The sequence below is a fragment of the Homo sapiens genome, chromosome 18 (genome assembly GCF_000001405.40).
Source record: "Homo sapiens chromosome 18, GRCh38.p14 Primary Assembly".
Classification (NCBI taxonomy): Eukaryota; Metazoa; Chordata; class Mammalia; order Primates; family Hominidae; genus Homo; species Homo sapiens.
The window spans coordinates 47,953,458-47,979,699 of record NC_000018.10 but is presented as its reverse complement, the minus strand read 5'-3'; the positions used below and the strand labels follow the sequence as shown (position 1 = coordinate 47,979,699).

Below are 26,242 nucleotides of genomic sequence, written 5' to 3'. Positions count from 1 at the left end.
CATTGACTCACCTGGCCTCAGGCAGCATCAGATGTCAGGTGAGCCCAGAAACAAGGACCCTCTGTGGCTGTGACAGACACCCCCAACCCACTGTCTCAAGGGCTGGCAGAGGGGCAGTGCCAGGACAAATCCAGCCCTGCTAGGAGATGGGAGGTGCTGCCGATACTCTTGGGGAGGCTGGATGTGAGGTGGAACTTCGGAGAGAAGCAGTAGCATTGGAAACCCCAGCGCTTTCGTGGGGATTCAGATAAACTTGCTTTGAGGCACAGAATCCACTGTGGTAAAGAAGATGGTCAAGACTGAAGAGACTGGGAAATGGAGGGGGCGAGTGGAGCCCACTGTTGGGATTACTCTGAGGGTAAGGTTGCCAGATAACAGGCAGGGCACCCAATGAAGTTTGAACTAGAGATAAACAATAACTTTTGGTATGCATATATCTCCCAAACATTGCACGGCTATTTTTCTTTGCTAAATCTGGCAAACTCTAGCTGAAGGAAAATTACAGATGACTTTTATTTCTTCCTTTGACTCTTTTCTGTATTTGCTAAGTCATCTCATGAACAGGTATTATTTTGATATTGAGGAGGATAATCCTAATACTACACTCTGTAATTCCTGAATAAATGGCTATTTCCTTGTTGGGTCAGGTGCAGGATATGGAAAGTCTGGGAACAAGGAGGGGCCCTGGAGCAGCATGAAGTCCCCAGCACCCACATGTAGGTCCAAGGGCCCCAGAATGCACAGCAGATTCCAGCCTTACCATTGTGTACCAATTCCTGTCACATCCAGGATCCTGAAAACTCTATATTCCTTCCCCCTCCTTCCTCAGTAAATCCATTAACAGCCTCTGCACCTTGAGTCACTAGGCCTTATAGATCTTTCCTGTCCATCAAGCCTTTCCTAGGAGAAAAGGGGCCTCAGCGCCATTGTCTGCTAATCTTACAGATTAAACACTCACACATCTTTCCTGTTCAGATGCTAATCTCTTGGAACATCCTTACCAAGAGGTTATATGTGAAATTGTATGGATACCAAAATTTGTCATATTATTCCAATGTTCAACCTTTGCTTGTTTTTTTAGCCTATTTGAATGTTTAATGAAATTGTTTAAAAATATATATACATATATACATATCCAAAGCATCTTAAAATATTTAAAATCTAGACTATTATCAGATCACTCATCTGAATCTCACTCTTTAGCACTAATTATAAACAGTGCAGTCTAGCTGTTGTCTTTAAAGGTTTTATAAGTGCTAGGCTTGTCTTTTTAATTAGACTATAAATTCATCTTTGGCTTCTCTAATATCTTTCAGAGCACCTGCTATAGAGTGGAGCACGCTCAGTAAAAGTTTAATGAGGTGTCTGCCTCCACTTGGCTTGGAGCTTCTGTTTGCTCCTCCTCTTCTCCCTGCCTAAGTCCCTCCTCTCCCAGTCCAGTCCCCTCACCATTAAAGACAGGCTCAGTTTTGATACCCGTCACTTGAATGTCTATATCCCCTGATGGACAAGTTATATTCTTTCAAGTTATTTGGCACATCATTCAGAATCACACATCTTTAGTTATTAAGTATGCCCAGAATAAACCTCCACTTATCTCAAAACGGGTACAGAGGGCTGGAGTAGTGCACTCTTGCTGTCTGTGAGGGTATCTGTATTAGGTGTATTCACCGATGTTGTTGTTGATATAAACTTCCATATAAAACGTTGCCATATGATGTCATTCAAAGGAATAAAATATATTTTCCCCTGAATAGAGAAGCAATGCAAACTTTTAAAATATGGAAAAGCAGGCCGGGCATGGTGGCTCACACCTGTAATCCCAACCCTTCGGGAGGCCAAGGCACATGGATGCTTGAGCCCTGGAGTTAAAGACCAGCCTGGGCAACATGGCAAAACCTCGTCTCTACAAAAAATACAAAAATTAGCCAAATGTGGTGGTGCATGCCTATACTCCCAGCTACTAGGGAGACTGAGATGGGAGGATAGCTTAGCCTGGGAGTTCAAGGCTGCAGTGAGACAACACCATATCACTGCATTCCAGCCCAGATGACAGAGCGAGATCCTGTCTCGAAAAAAAAAGGAAAAAAGTACAGAGACAAAAAACAAAAACCAGACTTTAATTCTCTTATACTGTAATCATTTCATATGTATCTTTCCAGTGTTTTTCCATGCATATAGGTATACATATTTGTATGTATCTACATAAATATATATATGCACACACATATATCACAAAAGAAAGGCATGTATCATTTTGTCTCACTTTCCTCATTAAGCAACATATAGTAAATCTTTTCCTGTGACCAATACCTTATTAATAAACACTTTGGTTGTTCACAATTTTTCTGTTATAAATCATGCTGCCGTAAAGTCCTTATTTATTCACCTTGTGCTTACTTGCTATATTTCTTTAGGGAAAAAGTTCTTAGACAGGAAACAGTTGGTAATGCATATTGGAAGGCTATAAATACTTAGCTAACCCATCCTCCTGCAAGGTTTCACTATTTACACTCTGCCCTTGGGAATCTCAATGAGAAGAAGGTGGAGAGTTTGGGATACCTCCCTTCTCCTACTTCCAGTCACTTACTCGGGGGGGCAACAACAGCTTGTTCTATGAGTTCCAAAATATTTCTGTATTTCTAGCCACCAAGTCCCAGTTTAGTCTTCCTTTTAGGTGCATTCATTCCTTCATCCAACAAATATTTTTTGAGTACTTACTATGTGCCAGGCACTGTTCTCGGTGCTGGGGACATAGCAGTGAACAAAACTGAGGATTAGGAGCAACTTTTTCCTACCTATCCCACAGAAATTGTCTACATCATTATTCCTTTACAGAATTGTCCCATATCACAGACTGGATGTCCAGTATGCTGTGGGGCACAGTGATACAAGGTGGGTCTCTGTCCTCAAGGCTATTTTTATCTCCTTAGAAGAGACAAGCCCAAATTCTGTCTTTGTCTCTGTCTCTGCCCACCCCCGCCCCTCCACACACACACACACACCCCAAAACAAAACAACAGAACTCATCTTTAGGTGAGGATGTATTAATAGCAAATGTTAAGTCATTGGGTAAGGTAATATAAACACAGCAGGAGTTCAGGAGAGGAGCTGTATTTGTTGGTAACTTTCCAGCTGCATCCAGAGACCCTTCAACAAGAGCTAGCCCAGCACCTTCATTTGCTGGATGTGGGTGCTGAGGCCCCTCTATGGGAAGGGAAAGCACAAGATGTGCAGCTTTGCATGTACCAGAGTGTATTAGTCTGTCCTCACCCTGCTGACAAAGACATACCCAAGACTGGGTAATTTATAAAGAAAAAGGTTTAATGAACTCACAGTTCCATGTGGCTGGGGAGGCCTCACAATCATGGTGGAAGGCGAAAGGCACGTCTTACATGGTGGCAGGCAAGAGAGAGAATTTGTGCAGGGAAACTCCCTTTTACATAACCATCAGATCTTGTGAGACTTATTCACTATCACGAGAATAGCACAGGAAAGACCTGACCCATGATTTGATTACCTCTCACCAGGTGCTTCCCACAACATGTGGGAATTGTGGGAGCTACAATTCAAGATGAGATTTGGGTAGAGACACAGACAAACCATATCATAGGGGCACACCTTTGTCTGAGGCAGGGATTTCCTAGAGACCAAACTCAACAGAGGGAATCAAGATAAGATAGGAAGCAGGGCAGGGAAAACATCTCTGAAATCTAAGAGAAGAGTAACAATGCGGGTGCTACTTAACCCTCGGGGCTGAGTCCTTGACTGCAACTTCCTCCAGGCTGTACTGCAACTCTGGTGTGCCAGAGCAGCTTTTCCCTTGGGGCCTGCCTGGTAACGTCTCTGCAATTGCCTGAGGTCAGGCCTGAAAGGTCACACATAGGATTTTGCCTTTAGTAAATGCAAGTGGAAAAAAAAAGATGACAGCAACAACAGCTGCAGCAACTCAACTAGCTGGTCTGGGTGTTTCCAGATCACCTAGACCTGTGGGGTTCGGCCCCACTTGTGTGTGAAAGGAAAAGATACAGTTACTCTGTATTTGATACATTAAAACACATTTTTGTTAAGTTTCTATTTTTATTCTATATACACACAATATATTTTTATAAAACCAAATACTTCTAGTTTTGTTATTAAAAAAAACCAGCAGTCCATTGTTCACCACCTCTAATTTCTCTCTTTCCAGAAGCAACTATTTTATCCTCTCTGCTGATTATTTTGGTATTTACATTTATGCCTCTAGATAATATCCCTGAGTTTTACTTTTTGCTTTTACCTGTTTTAACCATCATTTAGGTACGTTCTATTGTGGATGACAGCACTTAGCTCTCTTTCCTCCCTGCTGTGCCTACAACATACAGGCTGTCTTCCCAACTCCCTCCTTCTCACTTCAATAACAATGTAATTTGGGTCAGAACAATAGAGTTATCCCTCGATATCCTCAGGGGATCCGTTTCAGCATCCCTGAGGGTTCCAAACTCCGCAGATGCTTAACCCCTGATAGAAACTGGTGTAGTATTTGCATATAACCTGTGCACATCCTTCCGTGCAGTTTATATAATCTCTAGATTACTTATAATATCTCATGCAAGGTAAATGCTATGTAAATAGTCGGTAAACTGTATTGGTTTTTATCTGTATTTTTTATTGTTGTATTATTATTTTTTATTCTTTCTATTGCCAGATATTTTGGATCTGCAGTTGGCTGAATCCGCAGATGCAGGGGATAGACTCTGTCCTTTACATTATTATGATGAGGCAAAAGCTGTCTATACCTGAGCCATGAACTAGACTGTGGTTACCTTTACTTTCCTGTGCTTTTTGTTCTTACAAGAATAGTTACCTCGTTTTCACATTTATGTAATTGTCCAGGTTCCACGAATGCAACCCCTTTTGCCATGTTGCCCAGGCTGGTCTCGAACTCCTAGGCTCAAGCAATCCACCTGCTTCAGCCTCTCAAATTGCTGGGATTATAGGTATGCGCCACCATGCCAACTTCCATTGCCTTCTTGCTTCTGCTGTTGCTGTTGAGTGACCTTCTGCCATCCTGATTCTCAATTATTTTACACCTGATTTTCTTCTCCCTGGAAATGGCAGGATCCAGTTGAATCCAGTGTTTTGAAATTTCCAGTCATCTACCTCTGTGTGGGTCCATTTTGACACTCACGGCCTTTCCAGTCCAGAAAATGTATCAGGTCTGGGAAATGTTATGGAACTAATTTCTTTGATTTCCTCTCCTCTATTTTTTCCTTCCTCTCACTTTCTGGAGTTTCTATACTTGATTATCAGAACTCCTGGACTTGTTTCATTATTTTCTCTTTTCTGTCCAATTTTTTACCCTTTTAACTTTTTGCTTTGCTTTCTGGGAGATATCCTCAATTTTAACTTCCAAGTTCCTGTTAAGTTTCTCAGATTTACTCTTGTCTTTTAAATTTCCAGTAACTCTTTGTGTATATGTGTATGTGAATATGTATTAAATACACACACTTTAACATATTATGAATATCTATTTCCATATAAATATATAGCTGTATTTATATGAATGAGGATGGGGTGGTGTTGGTTCTTGTTCTAAGTAGCAGAGCCTCTAAGCAACTTTATTTTCTATTTGTTTTGGTCTCTATTGTTCACATTAGAGGATTTCTTTAGATGTCTGGTAATTCTCAGCTTGTCCATTTATCCGTCTCTATGTGAGAGATGGATCCATCTCTCGCATCCATCCATCCCTATGCGATAGGGACATTGTTATCTCCATTTTAAGAAATAGGGATGTTGTTTGTGTTTAGGTCCAGTGGACAAATAATCTTACTGGAAGCTCTGGGCTGTACATAAACTTGTCAGCTGCAAACTTCATCTTAGTGTGTTTGAATCTTTTCCTTGTGGAACTTCCGTATCAGTCTCTTTAGGTCTATTCTCTGGGGCAGGTCAGATGATCAAAGAGGACTCTACTGAGCTCCTGCTTAAAGGGTGAAGGTCTGGCCAACAGATTTGGGGGAGTGGAGACATGGCTTCTGGGGACTTCACCATCCTTGTTCTCTACAGTGCCTGCCTCTCCTAGACCAGAGACCCTTGGTGTTACTGTCTCCCATCTTTGTCCAGAATGGGGGAGAACCTGGCTGCCCGGACTTGGGGAAGAAATGTGGAGATGTGACTGCTTCATAAACAGACCATAAACCAATTCTCCTAATTTTAGCACCCGTCACTCTCACCTCCACTTCCAGAAGTGCCTGGTGCCGCCTACTCTCAAGCCTTATGGGGGTTCTGGCTCACAAAGTGAGTTGGTTTCTCACATTCTGCACTGTTGGCTTAGGATTCCATTTTCTCTCCGTTTTCTTGGGTCTGCTAAGTAAATTACCCCTTATCTAGCTGCTTTTCCAGTGTCAAGTGTTGTTGCTGTTTTCTACTCTCCCATTTCCCCACTGATGTGGGTCTGTGCCTTTAAAAATCCCTTTACTGGCACTCTCATCGGGTTTCAGGGGGGAATGAAAACAAATGTTTGCATCTTTACACAAGAATCCCTGCTGTTCAGATTCTCCCTCCCTTCTCCCATCTACTTATTCTTCTACCTAGAAATCACAATAGAACAGAGAACAGAAATGCATAGCCTTAATCATAAGCTACAAAGCCTTACATTTGGTGAGAGATACCAGAAAAGGGGCAAAGAGGTAGAATGACATAATTATATGGTATGTATTAGAAAAGTATGGCAAACACCAACATATAATCTTAATCTTGGTACTTTTATAATGAACATTTTAGAAAACAAGGCTGAACGGTCTTAGTTTATAAGGTTACACTGAAAATACAGCACTTCTCTCTTGGGGATTACACTCCACCAAGGACTTTATTTCAGAATATCCAGAAAAAGATGAGGTTTTAATTTGGATCCAAAGGGGCGGGACATGAGTTTTTAAAAAGGTAGGGGGAGGAGTACTGCATTAAAGGATGGGCTTAAGCAAATACAGATGGCCTCAGAGGCACACTGGACCTTGTCTCCCAAGGCTGGAAAGCCTTTTAGCACAGGCCACTGGACTCTAAATTCTGAAGAGCTCAGTGCAGGCCTTTGGCTAGGTGTCTTGTAGGTATGCTTGTCTTTCTTTGTAAGCCTTCTGTAAATTACATTTGTCTATTCTTTTCTTTTTTATAATGTGGGTTAAAATCAGACCCTTTAGAACAATGTGCAGTAGAATCGCCAGTGGAACTTAAAAAAATAAAGGCTCTAAGACCTCATATCAGTACTACTAAATCACACTTTAACTGGGCTTGAGAGCCACTGCTAGAGAGTAGCTCTGTGGACAGGATTCAGAGGATATATGACCCTCTGGAAATTCTAGGCAACATTGAATCCAACTTCTTTTTTTTTTTTTTTTTTTAAGCCAAGAACCATAACTTTTATCATACTCTCATAAGAGAACTTCATAGCACTTATCACTACTCTACATCATATATTACATTACATTATATAATTGTTTGCTTTCTGTTTTACCTACCATAATAAAGGTAGAAAATTTGTCTATGCATGGAATCAACCCAAATGCCCATCAATGATAGACTGGATAAAGAAAATGTGGCACATATACACCATGGAATACTATGCAGCCTTAAAAAGGAACAAGATCATGTCCTTTGCAGGGACATGGATGGATCTAGAAGCCATTATCCTCAGCAAACTAACACAGGAACAGAAAACCAAACACCACATGTTCTCACTTATAAGTGGGAGCTGAACAATGAGAACACATGGACACAGGGAGAGGAACAACACACACTGGGGCCTGTCAGGGGATGGGGTAGGGGGAAGGAGAGCATTAGGAAAAAGAGCTAATGCATGCTGGGCTTAACACCTAGGTGATGGGTTGATAGGTGCAGCAAACCACCATGGCACATGTTTACCTATGTAACCTGCACATCCTGCACATGTACCCCAGAACTTAACAGTAAAAATTAAAAAAAGAAAGTTTGTCTATTGTTAGTGTCCCAAGAACAGAAATAATCTCTTTTTCAGCATTAAATAATATTGGTTGAATGGATGAATGAATGAAAAGAATTCATAAGCCCCCTTCTCCCCCAAAAAGGCAAAAGCACTATCTACAACAAACTGCAATGGAAACTCCAGATGGAAATTCAATCTTTATTCAGATTCCACAAGCACAGTGCTGGACTGGACACAGGGGGATGAAAGGGTGGTGGTGGATATGGAGGTCTGTGACGTCGTTCCTGGCCCTAGATCATTTGCATACTCTCCTTCCACTCTCATTCAGGAAGCTTCATCAGTGGGGATATTTTTTTAACAAAGAAGAGTTCTCACTGCTGTTACATTACATCTCCCGGGCTTTATTTTTAGCTCTTCTGGTCTTATCAAACAACAGAAGGGACCTCTATAGCTTAACAAAGAAACAAACATCTCTTCCCTAACCCTTTACTCCATGGCTGCTAAGTGCAGACTCATCACTGTAAGGCTTTGTCTCCTAGAAAAGCTTAACTGACTTTGTCCCATGACATAGACAAAGCTGTTTATTGCTTCAGCCCCAGCACACTTTTTTCCTATCTCCAGATTTGCAGGAATGATGTCTGGCAAACGCTGTGAAGGGTATGTAAGAAATAGTGGGGAGGGGTCAAGGTAATTCATAGGAGAAGTACACTTTGATTAACAGCTTATTTGATGGTTATTCGATCATCCGATAATATCATTCTAAGAGTCTGAAGCTCCTGTTGGAGACACTTGAGAATGTGTCAGAACAGCCAAGATGACATAAACCGGCACACTTCCTCTTTTTTCTTAGCTTCCTCTTGATGATATCACAGCTAACACCTTTACTTACTGCCCTTAATCAGCTCTCAATGACACCATACCTTCATGGGTACCCAGCCCTGGCAGCCTGGATGGGAAGGCCATACAACTTGGGGTGGAGTTGCTCATGGCAGAATTGAGGCAGAGCATAAGGAATTGCAGTTGGCGGGTGGGGTCGGGGGAGGCAGGTAGCAAAGAGAGTGCAAAGGTTTTCTAAGACAGGTCAAGCCAGCATGTGTCACACCAAAGCGTGTTGATAGTTAGTAGTCACAAGGAGGTGGTGGAGGTGAGGAAGGAATAGCTTCTACCAGCTGCTGCTAATGAGAGACCTGAGGCTCCTATACGTACATGTAAGGATTGCTCCTCTGTTACTCCCACCCCTCCTCTACTCTACCCTTTCATGACATTTTCTGCTTCAGTGTTATGACTGGCAGAATTTTCGAAGGCCCTCAAGATTCCTGCCCCATCCCTGACCCCCTTGTATGTGCACGGCAAAGATGAAGAGATTTTGTAAATGTAATGAAGATCTCTGATCAGTTGACTGTCAATTATTTAAAGGGGAGATCATCTTGGGTGGGCCTGACTTAATCAAGTGAGCTCTTCAAAAGACAGTCTGGAAGTCAGAGGCTGAGAAGTCAGAGATTTAGAGCAGCAAAGATGCTCTTCTCTTGGCCTTGAAGAAGCAACTGCAAGACCTATAACCATAGGGAACTGAATTCTGCCAACAACCAGTGAGCTTGGAAGAGGACCCCGGCCTTGGATGAGATGGAAGCTCAGGCTGCAGCTTGCTTTCAACCTGGCAAGACTTTGCAGAGAGGACCCAAGCTAAACCGTATCTAGACTCCTGACCCAGGGAAGCTGTGAGATGACTCATCCGTGTTGTGTTAAGCTGCCACATTTGTGGTCATTTGTTACATAGCAATGGAAATCCAACATATCCTAAATGTTTATTTTAATGTAATATAACTGGTATTACAATCATGAACATGGGCATGGTGGGAAGAAGAGAAGCAATATATTGGACTTAAACTGAACTGCTGGTGCTTGAATCTAGATCTATTTACCAGCCGAGAAAACATGGATGAGTTACGTAACTTGTCTGTGCTTCAGTTTCCCCAGCAGGGATGATGACAATAACAGCAGCTTGCAGGTCACTGTGAGGAATAAATGGTTCAATATCTACAAGGCACTTATGATATTGCCTGGCACATAGTAAGTGCTGTGCGAATGTCAATCTTGCAGTTAGTTTTGGGTCAGAGATGTGACAGGAACCTCAGGAGACACTGATGGTTGCAGGGGAACAACCCCATATACAGCAGTCCCCAGTCTTTTTGGCACTAGGGACCAGTTTCGTGGAAGACAATTTTTCCCTGGACCCAGGGTATGGAGGGATGGTTTTCGGGATGAAACTGTTTCACTTTGGATCATCACCATAAGGAGTGTGCAACCCAGATCCCTCACATGCACAGTTCACGATAGGGTTCGCACTCCTATGAGAATCTAATGCTGCCGCTGATCTGCCAGGAAGTGGAGCTCAGGCAGTAATGCTCCCTCGCCCACCGCTCACCTCCTGCTGTGCCACCTGGTTCCTAACAGGCCATGGATGGGTACTGGTCCATGGCCCGGGGGTTGGGGACCCCTGCCATGTAAGACACACTATGTTAATACCTTTTATTCTGGACTCCTGAGCTTGCTGCTACTGTCTTTTCATTGTAATCTTAACTGTCAGGTCAAGCATTACCTTTAAAAAGTCCTTTTGAAGAATGTACCTGATGCCAAGAGCTTGGCTACTGACCCAAGCGGGAACTTCTCTTTTAAAACCAAAATACAATGGAACACTTGAGAGATCCAGTTAGACAATCAAGTCTCAAAATAAATGCAAACACGATGAATTGCCAGTGTTCAAAGGTGGAATCAGTGTCTAGGCCCTTAGCGGTTTTATTCTACTCCAGCCCTGGAACTGATGGATTTCTGACTCATTAATACCAACACCACAGGCTGGCTGGGCAACTGCAGGCTGTCCCAGCTGAGGGAGTTTTGCTGTCTGGTAACAAACTCATTAGAGAGAAAGAATTTTGTCATTTTTGTAAGAAAAAGATAAACTAAAGCATTTGACTTAGAGAAATTTTAGAAGTTGGGGGAAACTTCTGTTCTAATCCCATCTCTGTCCCTCATTAGTGGCCCGGTGACATCCTTTCTGAAGTTAGCTTCCTGATCTGTAAAACAAAAGGATCCCCTTCGAGAGACAGGGCATCACCACTCCCTCTGAAATCCACCAAAGAACAAAGGCCAAAATAAAGAAAAAATTATTCCACCGTGATATTACTAGAGAATGGCCACAATCTCACACCACGTATTTAAAAGATATTCATTCATACATACACATTTCATCCATTCAACAAATATTTACTGAGTGCTGCTGAGGTGCCAGCACCGTTCTAGATGCCAGGAGCTCTGGCTGCCAGATACGAAGAAATCTGATCCAAAAGAAAGGAGAGGACCAGGGTCTGACATCTTTTTCCTCTGATTCAAAGCAGGTACAGATTTAGAAATGCAAATGGAAGCGTACACAGAGGAAGTGTTGTAAAGAATGTAACCCTGCCCAAAAGAGGTCTCCTCTGTGTGCTGGGCTTCTGGGAGGTAATCTCTAAACTCCTTGGAATGTCATGCCTGATAGGAATGTTTTTGTTTCTCTGAGTGCCTTGGGTCACTCCAGATAGTCTAACAATGTGATTTAGGGTGGGGCTTTGGGTCACATGGTATCAGCTCCACCTCTGGAGGGGCTAGAGACTGAGATCCGTGACATGCGTATTCCACCGGGCCTAGTGATACAGCCCTAATAAAAGCTCTGAACACTGAGGCTTGAGTGAGCTTCCCTGGTGGGAAATCCTTTGTGTATATTGTCAAACATAATTACTGGGAAAGTCGCACTCTACCTAATTCCACTGGAAGGAGACAACCAGAAGCTCCATGCTTAGAACTTTCCTGGACTCTGCTGCATGGGCCTCTTCCTTTGGCTGATTTTAATCTGTAGCCTTTTGCCATAATAGATCATAATTGTGAGTATACGAGTTCATTGAGTTCTGTGAGTCTTTCTAGTGAATTATCAAATGCAAGGGTGGTCTTGGGAACCCTCAAACTTGCAATTGTTGTCAGACGTGAGGGTAGTCTTTGGACAACTGCTTCCTAATGTTACAGGGTCCCTTTCCATGCATATGGAATAAGAAATGATATATTAGTCTGTTCTTATACTGCTATAAAGAACTACCTGAGGCCGGACGCGGTGGCTCACGCCTGTAATCCCAACACTTTGGGAGGCCGAGGTGGGCGGATCACGAGGTCAGGAGATCGAGACCATCCTGGCTAACACAGTGAAACCCCGTCTCTACTAAAAATACAAAAAAAATCAGCCGGGCGTGGTGGTGGGCGCCTGTAGTCCCAGCTACTTGGGAGGCTGATGCAGGAGAATGGCGTGAACCCGGGAGGCGGAGCTTGCAGTGAGCTGAGATCATGCTACTGCCCGAAAGGCTCCTTCTCAAAAAAAAAAAAAAAAAAAAAGAAAGAAAAGAAAAAGAAAAAGAAAAAGAAAGAACTACCTGAGACAGGGTAATTTATAAAGAAAACAGGCTTGGCCAGGCGCAGTGGCTCACGCCTGTAATCCCAGCACTTTGGAAGGCCAAGGCAGGCAGGTCACCTGAGGTCAGGAGTTAGAGACCAGCCTGGCCAACATTGTGAAACCCCATTTCTACTAAAAATACAAAAAATTAGCCAGGCATGGTGGCACGCACCTGTAATCCTAGCTACTCGGGAGGCTGAGGCAGTAGAATCACTCGAACCTGGGAAGCGGAGGTTGCAGTGAGCTGAGATTGTGTCATTGCACTCCAGCTTGGGAAACAACAGCAAAACTCTGTCTAAAACAAAAAGGAAACAGGCTCAATTGACTTATGGTTCTGCAGGCTGTACAAGTAGCACAACAGGGGAGGCCTCAGGAAACTTTCAATCATGGTGGAAGGTGAAGGGAAGCAGGCACATCTTCATGTAGTGGAGCACAAGAGAGAGCGTGAAGGGGAAGGTGCCACACACTTTTAAACAACCGGGTCTCGTGAGAACTCACTCACTGTCACGAGAACAACAAAGGGAAAATCTGCCCCCATGATCCAATGGCCTCCCACCAGGCCCTTCCTCTGAAACTGGGGATTACAATTTGACATGAGGTTTGGGTGGGGACACAGAGCCAAGCCATATTAAACAGTGAGCAAGACACGAACGAAAAAGGAGATGTGTTGCTTGGGGCCAGGAAGGTAGGGTTGAAGGAGATCTCCCAAAGCTGTCTTCATTTGGCCTCACTCAATTTCATAACTGGAAAACCTTTCCAGATGACCTACTGGTCCCAAAGTGGAGGGACAGCCAAAACCAGAAGAGAACCCCCCTTCCGTGGGATGAGAGGCGTGCAAAGAGGGATGATCAGAGACAATGCATTTAGGATCCTTTCTACTGCTACCTCCTTCCCATCTTTCCATGCAGGCAGATATCACTGTCAGAGGCTGCCATCAATGACCTGCCTTGCAACTTAAATTCCAAGTACATTTTACACACCACTCAGGAAAAAAAGGCAAACAATTCAGGATAATTTTCAAACAAAATTATTGGGCAAATAATAAGCTGGAATAGAATGTTTCATTGAAGACGAATAATATGCCTCACTATCCACCTCCCACCCCAAAAAGATTTCTATTCATTGAGAAAAGAGAAAGAGAAAAAGAGAAAAGAGATAGAGAAAACAGATAAAGATAGGAAAAAATAAAGATCAAGTATAAATTAGATAAAGAACATTCTAAAAGAAGAATCTCTCTAGGAAACAGGATACTTTTTTTGGTTAAGCTTCTCTATAGATTAAGACTGTAAAATTTTACAAAGCATACTTGAAAAGAGATAACACCACAGGCTGATAGTAATAAAATCTAACGGCCAGGGATGGTGGCTTATGCCTGTAATCCCAACACTTTGGGAGGCCGAGGCAGGTGGATCACTTGAGGCCAGGAGGTCAAGACCAGCCTGGCCAACATGGTGAAACTCCGTCTCTACTAAAAACATAAAAATTAGCCATGCATGGTGGTGGGCGCCTGTAATCCCAGCTTCTCCAGAGGCTGAGGCATGAGAATCACTTGAAGCCGGGAGGCAGAGGTTGCAGTGAGCCGAGATGGCGCCATTGCACTCCAGCCTGGGTGACAGAGCAAGTCTTGTCTCAAAAAAATAAATAAAATTAAAAAATACAGAAAACTAACATCTACTGAGTATTTACTATGTTTCAGATACTGTTCTTAGTGGTTTACATGTATTATTAGCCATTTGAAACTGGCAACATTATTGCTATCCCTCTATTACATATGGCGACATTAAGACATTAAATAACTTTCCTGGCCAGGGATGCAGTGGCTCACACCTGTAATCCCAGCACTTTGGGAGGCCAAGGTGGGTGGATCACCTGAGGTCAGAAGTTCAAGACCAGCCTAGTCAACATGGCAAAACCCCATCTCTACTAAAAATACAAAAATTAGTTGGGTGTGGTGGCATGCGCCTGTAATCCCAGCTACTCAGGAGGCTGAGGCAGAAGAATCACTTGAACCCAGAAGACAGAGGTTGCAGTGAGCCAAGTTTGCGCCACTGCACTCCAGCCTGGGCGACAGAGGGAGACTCCCTCTCCAAAAAAAAACTTTCCTAAAAGTCACTTGTTAGTGGTGGAACTGAGCTGCAACCCCATATGGTTTGATGGTTTGGCTCTTAACCTCTATCCTATCCTACCTGAAATGTTAAATTTTTATCAAATAGATCACAATAAAAACCTACATGAATTCCAAGAAGAATCTGTACTGGTTACATTGTCTGACTGTAATGAAATAGAATAAGTAGTAATTATTGAAGAATAACTTCACTACTCTATCCCAATAACTTAAAAATCTGAACAAAATAGACAATTTTCTAAGAAAATATGTTATTCAAAATAAGTTTTAAAGAAGAAGGCAAATTCAAGTTAGTAACAACAAGGAAAACAATGGGATAAATTGAGAAGGAAAATTGTCAGCCTGGCGTGGTGGCTCACACCTGTTATCTCAGCACTTTGGTAGGCTAGTGCCGGAGAATCACTTGACCCCAGGAGTTCGAGGCTGCAATTAAGCTATGATTGTGCCACTACACTGCAGCCTGGGCAACAGAGTGAGACTCTGTCTCTTAAAAAAAGAAGAAAAGAAAAGAAAAAAAAAAAAGAAGAAGGAAACTGTTAAAGTGCCAGGCCTAGAGAGTTTTATGTATGAATACTTCAAGGAACAGATTAATTTTGATGCTATTCAACTATTACAGAGCATTACAAAATAAGGAAGACTTTTTGCTCTCCTAATAGCCTGTTAAGCCAGAATTACAGTGATGACGGTGATGCTAAAAGCTGATGAGTGTGGCAGATGTACATACTCACCTGTGCGTGCACACAGCCTATGTGTCAGATCAGATGCTCTGAGCTGTGTGTAACAGGATCCTTGAGTAAGAGTCACTTAAATACCAGGCCGTTTCTGGTCAAACCAAACACCACTCAAAGCCTAGGAGTAGGTGTTTTCATTGTTAGGTCAAGCATTTAATGAGGCCCTGTGGGACCACAGCTCCAGGAGTTCTGCTCTTAGAGGAGATAGGATAGCAGGACTAGATAGGTGGATGAGGAGCCACAGCCAAGTCCAGAAATCAAGCTGTGTGGCCCATGCCACACTGACTGCCTGAGCCTACCACTGTCCCTTTCCATGGTTCTTTTGCCGTGATGTGTTGATGCTCTGTTCCGACTGATTGGGGAGTATATCTTGTATCTGTGTTTAAAAAGTTTGATATCACCCTGAATATACCAAGTAGTTTTGGAAATGTAGTATCCTAAAATTGGCATCTCAAATCAGCAGAAAAAAAGATGATTTATACAGATAACTGTTTCATTGTTTAGGACAAAGTAAAGCTAATTCCCGGCCTTACCTGTCCTAGTGATCATTACTAATAATCCAAAGATTAAAATGTTAAAAAAGAGAAAGAAAACCTCAGATTACTAGAAGAAAACAAGGATGAATCATCTTTAAAATCTTGGAATGAAAAAGACCTTTCTAAGCACAATGTGAAAACTAGAAGCAATAAAGAAAACATTTGACACATTTGACAACTTAAAAAAAGGAAACTTTCTGTATGGAAAAAATGGCATCCTAAAAAAAGTCGAAAGCCAAGAAATAAAAAATCAAAATATAAAAACACTGCAAAAATGTATTTGCAATACATTTGACAGCTAAGGAGTTAATTTCCCTTATGCACAAATCCATGAGCGCTCTTACAAATTGGGGTCCAATAATTAAGAAAACGTCCACACCATCACTAATACTTGATACATTTAAATCTCATCTTTGTTTTATTTGTTTGTCCACTAGATAATACTCAGTGTTGGATAGGGTATGGGAAAGTGGGCACATTCATATGTTTGCTAATATAACTTTTTAGGAGGATAATTTGTCGAATTCATTACAACTTAAAATATTTATACCTATTGGCAGATTCATTCCCGGAAGCATCGTGTGTAGCTTCACAAAATTGGAAACAACTCAAATATCTATTGACAGGAGATCAATGAGACAAATTAGAGTACATATATTAATCCAACCAAATGTTGATTGTCTACTATCTGATGATACTTGCATTCTCATGGAAGGAAATGCAAACAGCTAAACAAATAGCCACACAAGGTTTGTAATAACTGCTTTGAAGGAAATCAACGTATTATGTTATAGAGTAAGCATTGGCAACATATGGCCCATGGACCTAACCTGGCCTGCCACTTGTTTTTGTGTAGTTGGTGATGTAGTTTGAATGTTTATCCCCTCCAAATCTCATGTTGAAATGTAATCCCCAATGTTGGGATGGGCCTGGTGGGAGGCCCCACCTCCAACATTGGGATTATAGGGGTGGATCCCTCATGAATATCTTGGTGCTGTCCTCATGACAATGAGTGAGTTCTTGCTCTGAGTTCACATAAGATCTGGTGATTTAAAAGACTGTGGCATCTCCTCTCTCTGTCTTGCTCCTGCCCTCATCTTCCACCATGATCAAAAGCTTCTTCAGGCCCTCACCAGGAGGAGATCCTGGAGCCATGCTTCCTGTAAAGCCTGTAGAACTGTGAGCCAATTAAACCTCCTTTCTTTAAAAATTACCCAACCTCAGGTACTTCTTTATAGGAACGCACAGATGGACTAATACAGCTTGCGAGTTAACAATGATTCTTATATTTTTAAATGGTTGTTAAAAAATCAAAAGATGAATATTATTTCATGATGTGAATATTACATGGCATTTGTACTCCTACTATGTACCCAAAAAAATTTAAAAATTTTAAAAACCGTAAAAAAAGAAAATTATATGGCCTTTCAAATTTCAGTGTTCTTAAATAAAATGCAATCGGAATGCAGCCATACCTATCTGTTCGCATGTTGTCTGCATCTGCTTTTCACTGCAGTGGTAGAGTTCAGTCGTTTCTCTAGAGACTGTCTTATAAAGCCTAGAATATTTACTTGTCTGGCCCTTTGCTGGAAAAGATTTCTAACCCCTGTTTTAGAAGGAATAGATAACGAAGGGCCCCGGAGAAATGAAAATATATGTCTACACGAAACTTGTACATGAATGTTCACTGCAGCATTATTCATAAGAACCCCAAAGTGGAAATGACCCAAATTCCTATCAACTGATGAACAGATAAGTAAAATTTATCAATCCATTTGTTTGATAAATAAATGGATGGATAAATAAACAAAATGTGGTATAACCATACAATGGAATATTATCAAACCATGAAAAAGATTGAAGTACTGTTTCATGCTACAACATGAATGAACCTTGAAAACACGCTAAGTGAAAGAACCCAGTCTCAAAGGAATGTATATTGTATGATTCCATTTATATGAAATAAGCAGAATAGGAAAGTCTATACAGACAGAAAGTAGATTGGTGGTTACCTAGGCCTGGGGGGATTGGGTGGAAATGGGGAGCAATTGCTAATGGGGCCTATGGAAATGTTCTAAAATTGATTGTGGTGATAGCTGCACAACTCTGTACATATGCTAAAAGTCATTAAATTGTACACACAAATGGGTTAATTGTATGGTATGTGAATAGTATCTCAATAAAGCTGTTTTAAAAAGAGTGGAGCATATTGGGGGAACCACCCCCGATAATTCAACATAATTTCACGTAGGTTCTTTTCTATTTCCCTAAGTGCCAGCCAGTCTGAGAAATAAAGGGAAAGAGTACAAAAGAGAGAAATTTTAAAGCTGGGTGTCTGGGGGAGACATCACATGTCAGCAGGTTCCGTGATGCCCCCCAAGCCGCAAAACCAGCAAGTTTTTATTAGTGATTTTCAAAGGGGAGGGAGTGTAGGAATAGGGTGTGGGTCACAGAGATCACATGCTTCACAAGGTAATAAAATATCACAAGGCAAACGGAGGCAGAGCGAGATCACAGGACCAGGGTAAAATTAAAATTGCTAATGAAGTTTCGGGCACGCATTGTCATTGATAACATCTTATCAGGAGACAGGGTTTGAAAGCAGACAGCCAGTCTGACTAAAATTTACTAGGCAGGAATTTCCTTGTCCTAATAGGCCTGGGAGCGCCACAGGAGAACAAGACTTATTTCTTCCCTTATCTGCAGCTGTATAAGACAGACATTCCCAGAGCGGCCATTTTAGAGACCTACCCCTAGGAACTCATTCTCTTTCTCAGGGCTGTTCCTTGCTGAGAAAAAGAATTCAGTGATATTTCTCCTATTCGCTTTTGTAAGAAGAGAAATATGGCTCTGTTCTGCCCAGCTCTCAGGCAGTCAGACCAATGGTTATCTCCCTTGTTCCCTGAACATCGCTGTTATCCTATTCTTTTTTCAAGGTGCCCAGATTTCACATTGTTTAAACACGCATGCTTTACGAACAATTTGTGCAGTTAACGCAATCATCACAGGGTCCTGAGGTGACATACATCCTCAGCTTACGAAGATGATGGGATTAAGAGATTAAAGTAAAGGCAGGCATAGGAAATCACAAGAGTATTGATTGGGGAAGTGATAAATGTCCATGAAGTCTTCACAATTTATGTTCAGAAATTGCAATAAAGACAGGAATAAGAAATTTTTTTTTTTTTTTTTGAGACAGAGTTCACTCTTGTTGCCCAGGCTGGAGTGCAATGGCTCAATCTCGGCTCACCGCAACCTCCGCCTCCTGGGTTCAAGCACTTCTGCCTCAGCCTCCCTAGTAGCTGGGATTACAGGCATGCACCACCATGCCCGGCTAATTTTGTATTTTTAGTAGAGACAGGGTTTCTCTATATTGGTCAGGCTGGTCTCGAGCTCCCGACCTCAGGTGATCCGCCTGCCTCGGCCTCCCAAAGTGCTGGGATTACAGGCGTGAGCCACCACGTCCAGCCAGGCATAATAAATTATAAAAGTATTAACTTGGGGAACTAATAAATGTCCATGAAATCTTCACAATTTATGTTCTTCTGCCATGGCTTCAGCCGGTCCCTCCATTTGGGGTCCCTGACTTCCTGCAACAGGAGCATGCAACGGGTTTGGGAGCTACTTTAGATAGGGTTTTGGGAAAAGCCTCTCCAAGGATGTAATGTTTGAATTATGACTTCAAGGAAGAGAAAAGGCAGGAGAAGAATATTCCACTCAGAGGAAATAATAAAAGCAAAAGTCCTGACGCAGGAAGAAGCTTGTCTTGTTTGAGAAACAACAAAGCCAAGCATGGCTGCTGCATCGTATTCTGGTGGGAGAACATGAGGTCAGAAAAGCAGGCAGGGTCTAGACCATCTAGCTCCTGTGGGAGCTACTCAGGAAGGCAAAGAGTAGGATGGTGGTTATCAGAGACTTGGAAGGCAAGAGGGGAGGGGGAAATGAAAAGAAGTTTCTTAGTGGGTACAAAAATAGAGTTAGATAGAAGGAATAAGTTCTAGTATTCAACAGTATGATAGGGTAATTATAGTTAATTTATCGTATATTTAAAAATAGCTAGAAGAATTTTAATGTTTCCAACACTGAGAAAAGATAAATGTTTGAGGTGTTGGATATCCCAATTACCTTGATTTGATCATTGTATGCATGTGTCAAGTATCACTTATATCACACAAATATGTGCAACTATGATATATCAATAAAGAAAGAATCGAGCTATAGTGGGAGATTGAATCAGCTCTCTCTGAAGAAGGTGGCTGTGTGTAGGAGAAGGAGTTGCTTGAAAATCTGCTGGTCTATTAAGAAGGATCTGGGTGGGTAAACAACAATGTCTGCTGTGATAATAACCACACAGGAAGATGCTGAGCCCTTGCCATGTGTCAGGCATTTATTCCTCCCAGCATCTTTTGAGATCGGCACTAATAATCTCTGACTCAAGTTACATATGAGAAACTGGAAGTTTAGTGAGGTTAACTACCCAATCCTAGGTCTCAGAGATAAGTAAATGGGAGAGTTGAGATTTGAACCCAGGTCTCCCAGAAGCCAAGGTTTGTGTTCTTTTTTTTTTTTTTAGACACAGTCTCACTCTGTTGCCCAGGCTGGAGTGCAGTGGTGCAATCTCAGCTTACTGCAAGTTCCATCTCCCAGGTTCATGCCATTCTCCTGCTTCAGTCTCCACAGTAGTTGGGACTACAGGCGCCCGCCACCATGCCCGGCTAATTTTTTTTTTTTTTTTTTTTTTAGTAGAGACAGAGTTTCACCATGTTAGCCAGGATGGTCTTGATCTCCAGACCTCGTGATCTGCCCACCTCGGGCTCCCAAAGTGCTGGGATTACAGGCATGAGCCACCGCACCCAGCCAAGGTTTGTATTCTTTACAGCATCATCAAACTGTACCCCTCTCCCCCAAGCAAAAATGGAAAGCCATGTAGGCTAAAGTGGTTGGGAAAAGCTTTATGGAGGAGGCTGGATTTGAGGTAGACCCAGAAACAGAGATAAAAGGAGGCAGAGGGCAGCCCGGAAGAGATGATCAATGTGAGCTAAGATGCAAAGGCTGGAGAACACAAGAGATATGCAGAACACATTGGTGAATTCACCTGTTAGTTTTGAGGGCTCAGTAAGAGAGTAGTGGGATGAAGTCTAGAATGGTACATGGGAGCCAAATTCTGGCAGTCTCAAATGCCATCCTGTCTGGTGGGTGGCATAGAGACATGAAATGTTCTGAGCAGAGGAGTGACAAGGTCACAGTGTAGGTGATAAAGAGGAGTATGGTAGTGAGAGGTAGGAGTAGAATGGGGAAGACACTGAAGGCATGGACTAGAATTAGGGGGCTGTTGCCATCCTTTACCTCTGAGGAATATGGCTTTTACCTTTAAGTGGGGGTAGTGACTGTGGTTGCCCCCCAAAAATAGCTGAACATATGAATTATTTCCATGCAATAAATAGTTGGACTTGGTATTTGAACACAGCATGGAGCTTAGGAGAGGAAGAAATCAAGGAGGATTCCAAGGCTTGGATGACAGAAATAGGGAAGCTTCTAGAATTAGATACGGTAAAGTGTATACAGAAAAGAACAAAAGGCTAAGGATTCCCTCAACCTTGGAGAGTATCACATGTGTAGAAGGTATGCAGACCCTGCTAGTTGCCAACCTGGTATCCACCTGATTTTCTTTACTAACTTAACCCTCAGCAGCAATGGTCCTGCTTCCAAAAATACATTTCCCAGCTCCTTTGCAGTGAGGATGAGTATGTGACACCGTCTCTGGTTATGAGACCTAAGTGGAAGCGTGCTGGGGATTTCTGGGAAGGTTTTTCTTTTCTCATGTAAATGACAGCCTTTCCTCCTTGTGGTTTCCCCTCATTCTGCCTGGATGGAGGACCGGAGGCAAGAGGTTGAACAGCCATTTTGCAGTCATGGCTAACCATGAAGACAAAAGCCACCTGCTAAGGATGAGAGAGCAGAAAGATAGAAGCTGCCTGGGAAACTGGGAACATTGCAAAGCCATTGTGCCAGTCCTGGATTGTCTACCTGTGCACTTCATGTGAAATAAGAAAAACGAGGCCAGGTATGGTGGCTCACACCTGTAATCCCAGCACTTTGGGAGGCCAAAGTGGGAGGATAGTTTGAGCCCAGGAATTTGAGACCAGCCCAGACAACGTAATGACACCCCATCTCTACAAAAAAAAAAAATTAACTGCTGTTAATTTTCGTGGTGGTGTGTGCCTATAATCCCAGCTGCTGGGGAGGCTGAGATGGGAGGATCACCTGAGCACAGGAATTTGAGGCTGCGGCGAACCATGATTCTGCCACTGTTCTACAGCCTGGGTGAGAGAGAGAGACCCTGTCTCAAAAAAAAAAAAAAAAAAAAAAATCTAGCTAAGCACAGCAGTTCACGCCTGTAATCCCAGCACTTTGGGAGGCCAAGGCAGGTAGATCATCTGAGTCAGGAGTTCAACCAACCTGGCCAACATGGTGAAACCCCATCTCTACTAAAAATATAAAAAATTAGCCAGGCATGGTGGCAGGTGCCTGTAATCCCAGCTACTTGGGAGGCTGAGGCAGGAGAATCGCTTGAACCCGAGAGGCAGAGGTTGCAGTGAGCTGAGATTGCGCCATTGCACTCCAGCCTGGGCAACAAGAGTGAAACTCCATCTAAAAAAAAAAAGATCTTTATTTTGTTAAGCCTCTGTAGTAGGGGTACTATTATATGAAGCTAAATGTAATTCCTGGCTGATACAGTGAGTTAGGAAACAAAGGAGAGAAAAGGAGTGATCAGATAAGTAAGAGGAGAGCCAGAAAAGTTCAGTTCACAGGAGCTGATGGAATAGAGTCTGGACCCAAAGAGGACTTTCGCTAAAGGTTGTAGAGTGGGTGAGATGGCAGAGAGGGTGTTCTAAGGACAAGCTCACCAGACCAGAGCCATCAGTGAGATGGTGAGACTGGCAGTGTCACTGGTATGGAGTAGAGAAATGGTCCAGGGAGTCAAGGGGGCAGAAATACATGCACTGTCAGGTAGTTGAAATGAATGTTGAAAGGAACTGGGATGAGGGCAGGAAAGGTAGAAAGAATGAGAGTCAGGTGCCAAAAAGCTATCGAGGAGCCTAGGAATGGGTCCCAGAAAGCAGGACTCGGTGTTGCCTTTAAAGACAGTACTAGCCAGCACCTAGGCAGGGTTTCCCAGCTTGTCATATTCTTGGAGATGTCACAGCAACTCAGTTGGTTTCCATTTATCCTTAATTGACCAGATGTTCAGTAACAGGCTCTCATTCTCCTGATTAATAAAGTTGGACCTAGAAAGCTGTGTGACTACTGACTAATTTCCTGGGAAGTACGTCCTTCCGAGGATCGGCATGCTCAGAATTATGCCTGTTTTTCACAGATACCTGTACTTGATTTCCAGGTAACTGGGAAACCAGATCCATTGTCAGAAGCTTGCTGAATGAGCCCAGAACCGGAATGAAAACACTCCTGCTTGGATGCATGCGCTTTCTCAGAAGTGGTAGTGCAGATGAATCTCCTGCCGCCTCTCTCCATCTGGACTGTGTACGCGTCTCTCAGTGCTGGGCCCTAAGTCTTTCTTTAATCACACAGTGCCCCTTAGAGCTGCTGAGGTTATGGCTTTCTTCACGCTCTGATCCAAGCCTAAGGATAGCCACTGGTCCCCTGGACAGGTCTGATGTAGGTGTGTCCGTTGTCTTCTCAGCAACTAATTTAAAAGCCACCTATAGCTAGGTGGAGAGACTCTGTATCTGGTTATTCTCATCAGCTGTGCACTGATTAGCATCATTTTCACTGTCACAGGGTGATAATTATCCAGCTTCATCCTCAAAATCAGGGTGGGGGGCACATCACTGAAAGCCCTGTGAGCCCAAGACAAACGTGGATAATCATTTTAGTTCTTACCAAATTGATACCATAACTTCAAATCACAGAATCAGCACAACTCCTAATGGTGGCCAAGCAGTCTTTTCAGAGGCTACCCATGAACTTCCAGGAGCCACAGGGGGGTGCTGGGCTGAGGTATCAGCCCACCAATGCTTAGACCTGCTCCTTTCTGCATCGGTGGGCGTGGGATGGTCTTTGCTGCACAGAAGGCAACAATTTGGCTGGTGGTTGGGAGGTGCAGTTTTTGGCTCAGAAAATATGGCCGCTAAACCCATAGGGTAACACTTGTTCTGAGTTTTCTCAAGGAAAGTCAGGAAATATTTGGAAAAGGTAAGCAAGGCACAAGCCACACCCTTCAGTCTCTAGGCCTGACTGTGTGCTTATTGCTCTGTGTTGGTCAGGCCCCAGCTGCGTCACTGCAGCCAGGTCTTAATGCCTCTCTTTCAGACAATGTGGCAGCAAGGTACCTGCCCAGGACAGTGGAGATGTGGACACCTGGGTGCTGGTAGAGCAGTGGAACGCCCTGGAGAAGGACAGCCTGGAGACAAAACTTGAGGTAACACAGCAGCAGCCATCAGTATCGTCAAAGGGCCACTAGGAAGTCAAGTTTTAATATAAAACTAACTTGGGTGCAGTGACACATGCCTGTCATCCCAGCTACTTGGGAGGCTGAGGCAGGAGGATACCTTAAGCCCAGGAATTCGAGGCTGCAGTGAGCTATGATTTTGCCTGTGAATGACTACTGCACGCCAGCCTGGGCAACACGACGAGGTCCTATCTCTAAAAAAAAAAAAAAAAAAGAATTAAAAAAATATATATAAGACTGGGATTTAAATGCCCTAGAAGTAAAATGTCTTATTTTTAGAGGAGGAGGGATGCCTGTGGAGCTTAAGCACAGGTTAGGTGACGCTGTCAGGAAGAATGTGAAAGGGATTCTTTTCCTGAGCAAAAAGACCACATGATTCTAAGGTCTCTTCCAACTCTGAGATGCCAGGTTCTGATACCTAATATATGGCAATTGATGGGACTTATACAGGGAGTATCCAGTATTTATATATTTGGTGTGCTTACTTATCTCCGATCATTAGTTGTTAAAATCCTCCCAGCCATAACTTTGACAGGAATAGAAACGACAGTTTTTGTTGACTGTAAATGGACACAGAATACCGTGGCTTTGGAGATAAATTTTAAAGCACTAGGTATATTTGGCATCAGAAATACATGGCTATCTTGTTCATGCATGCTAATACGGAACAATAGTCAAGAGATGTTAAATGAAGATGAAGCAAGGATAACAGTGTAAAGCGCACACCTCCGGCTGGGCGCAGTGGCTCACACTGGTAATCCCGGGAGGCAGAGGTGGGTGAATCACTTGAGGCCAGGAGTCCGAGACCATCCTGGCCAACATAGTGAAACCCCATCTCTACTAAAAATACAAAAAAATTAGCTGGGCATGGTGGTGCGTGCCTGTAGTCCCAGCTACTAGGGAGGCTGAGGCACAAGAATCACTTGAACCCGGGAGGCGGAGGTTGCAGTGAACCAAGATCATGCTACTGCATTCCAGCCTTGGTGACAGAGCCAGACTCTTGTCCCAACCTCAATTTCAAAAAATGACATATATGTATATAAATATGTATACTTGTACATTCATGGAATAACTCCAGAAAGATATCCAAAAATCCGATACCAGTGTTTTGGTCACTGAGTGGCTGAAGGTAAGAAAAATAATTACTTTCTACTGGTTACTATTTTTGTCCTTTTTGACTTCTGTACACTGTGCTTGTATAACCTATCAATAATAATAATAATAATGATAATGAACCTTAGCTGACTTACCAAGAAACCACAGTTACTGGTAGGCACAGGGGAAGGGTAGGGAGGCTGTGGAAAGGGCAGCCTTTGGGGGGCCCAGGGAGAAGAAAGTCTGTATTTAAATACAGTTCAATCCTGCCCACATTTAGAAATCATTTGCAGTGAATTCCATGTGGGACTAGATTAGTTTGAACTTGAGCCACCCTCGAGTGGATCATAAAAGTGAAAGGGGGGTTCATGACTGTTCATGGTAACAAGTGATTACTTTGGGCTGTGGATATTTTCCTCAAATGCTCTAGTCTTCCTGGATGAACAGCTGGGTGCCTGGGTCCTGTCCTCATTCTGCCACTGCTAACAGTGTGACCTTGGGTAACAGACTCTGTTCTCTAGGCCTCTTGGAGAAGTAATGAGCTCACAAATGTATTGTCTAATTTATTCTGTCTGAACCAGGGTGTGGATGTGGAAACACCACTGCAGAGCAATGAAAACCAAAGGCTGGTCTTGAGGAACTAGAGAGTGTATCAAGGAAACCACAGCAGAGTTGGGCTAAGCCTCGAGAGAATTACCATATCCTGTTTTCTGTCGGAGCCTGGCCAGACCCTTTGCCAGGTTCCAGTGAATCACCAAATCACTCTGGGCACGGCTCAATGCACAGATGGTGCTGGGAGCTGGGAGAGCCGCGTTAGGCGGTAAATCTCTCCTGCACTAATCCTAGGAAGCATATGCTTAATTAGGCAAGGGTGT

General features: G+C 43.0%; 1 long non-coding RNA gene across 1 annotated transcript, besides 3 other annotated features; it reads left to right on the top strand.

The window, feature by feature from the left end:
* Positions 5,620-6,120: an enhancer, noted in NCBI's record as "H3K27ac hESC enhancer chr18:45499951-45500451 (GRCh37/hg19 assembly coordinates)". NCBI's record gives its function as "activates a minimal SCP1, AML or CMV promoter by ChIP-STARR-seq in naive H9 embryonic stem cells {active_cell/tissue: H9 hESC(naive)}" and the evidence as "EXISTENCE:reporter gene assay evidence [ECO:0000049][PMID:30033119]".
* Positions 11,231-11,959: an enhancer, noted in NCBI's record as "OCT4-NANOG-H3K27ac hESC enhancer chr18:45494112-45494840 (GRCh37/hg19 assembly coordinates)". NCBI's record gives its function as "activates a minimal SCP1, AML or CMV promoter by ChIP-STARR-seq in naive H9 embryonic stem cells {active_cell/tissue: H9 hESC(naive)}" and the evidence as "EXISTENCE:reporter gene assay evidence [ECO:0000049][PMID:30033119]".
* Positions 11,416-11,616: a silencer, noted in NCBI's record as "peak3141 fragment used in MPRA reporter construct". NCBI's record gives its function as "represses an SCP1 promoter by STARR-seq MPRAs in K562 erythroleukemia cells {active_cell/tissue: K562}" and the evidence as "EXISTENCE:reporter gene assay evidence [ECO:0000049][PMID:32103011]".
* On the top strand, positions 21,648-24,205 carry LOC105372101 (uncharacterized). The gene is made up of 3 exons (XR_935441.2): positions 21,648-21,866; positions 23,202-23,344; positions 24,134-24,205. It is a non-coding gene; the product is annotated as an uncharacterized LOC105372101 (long non-coding RNA).
* The last annotated feature ends 2,037 nt before the right edge of the window (positions 24,206-26,242 follow it).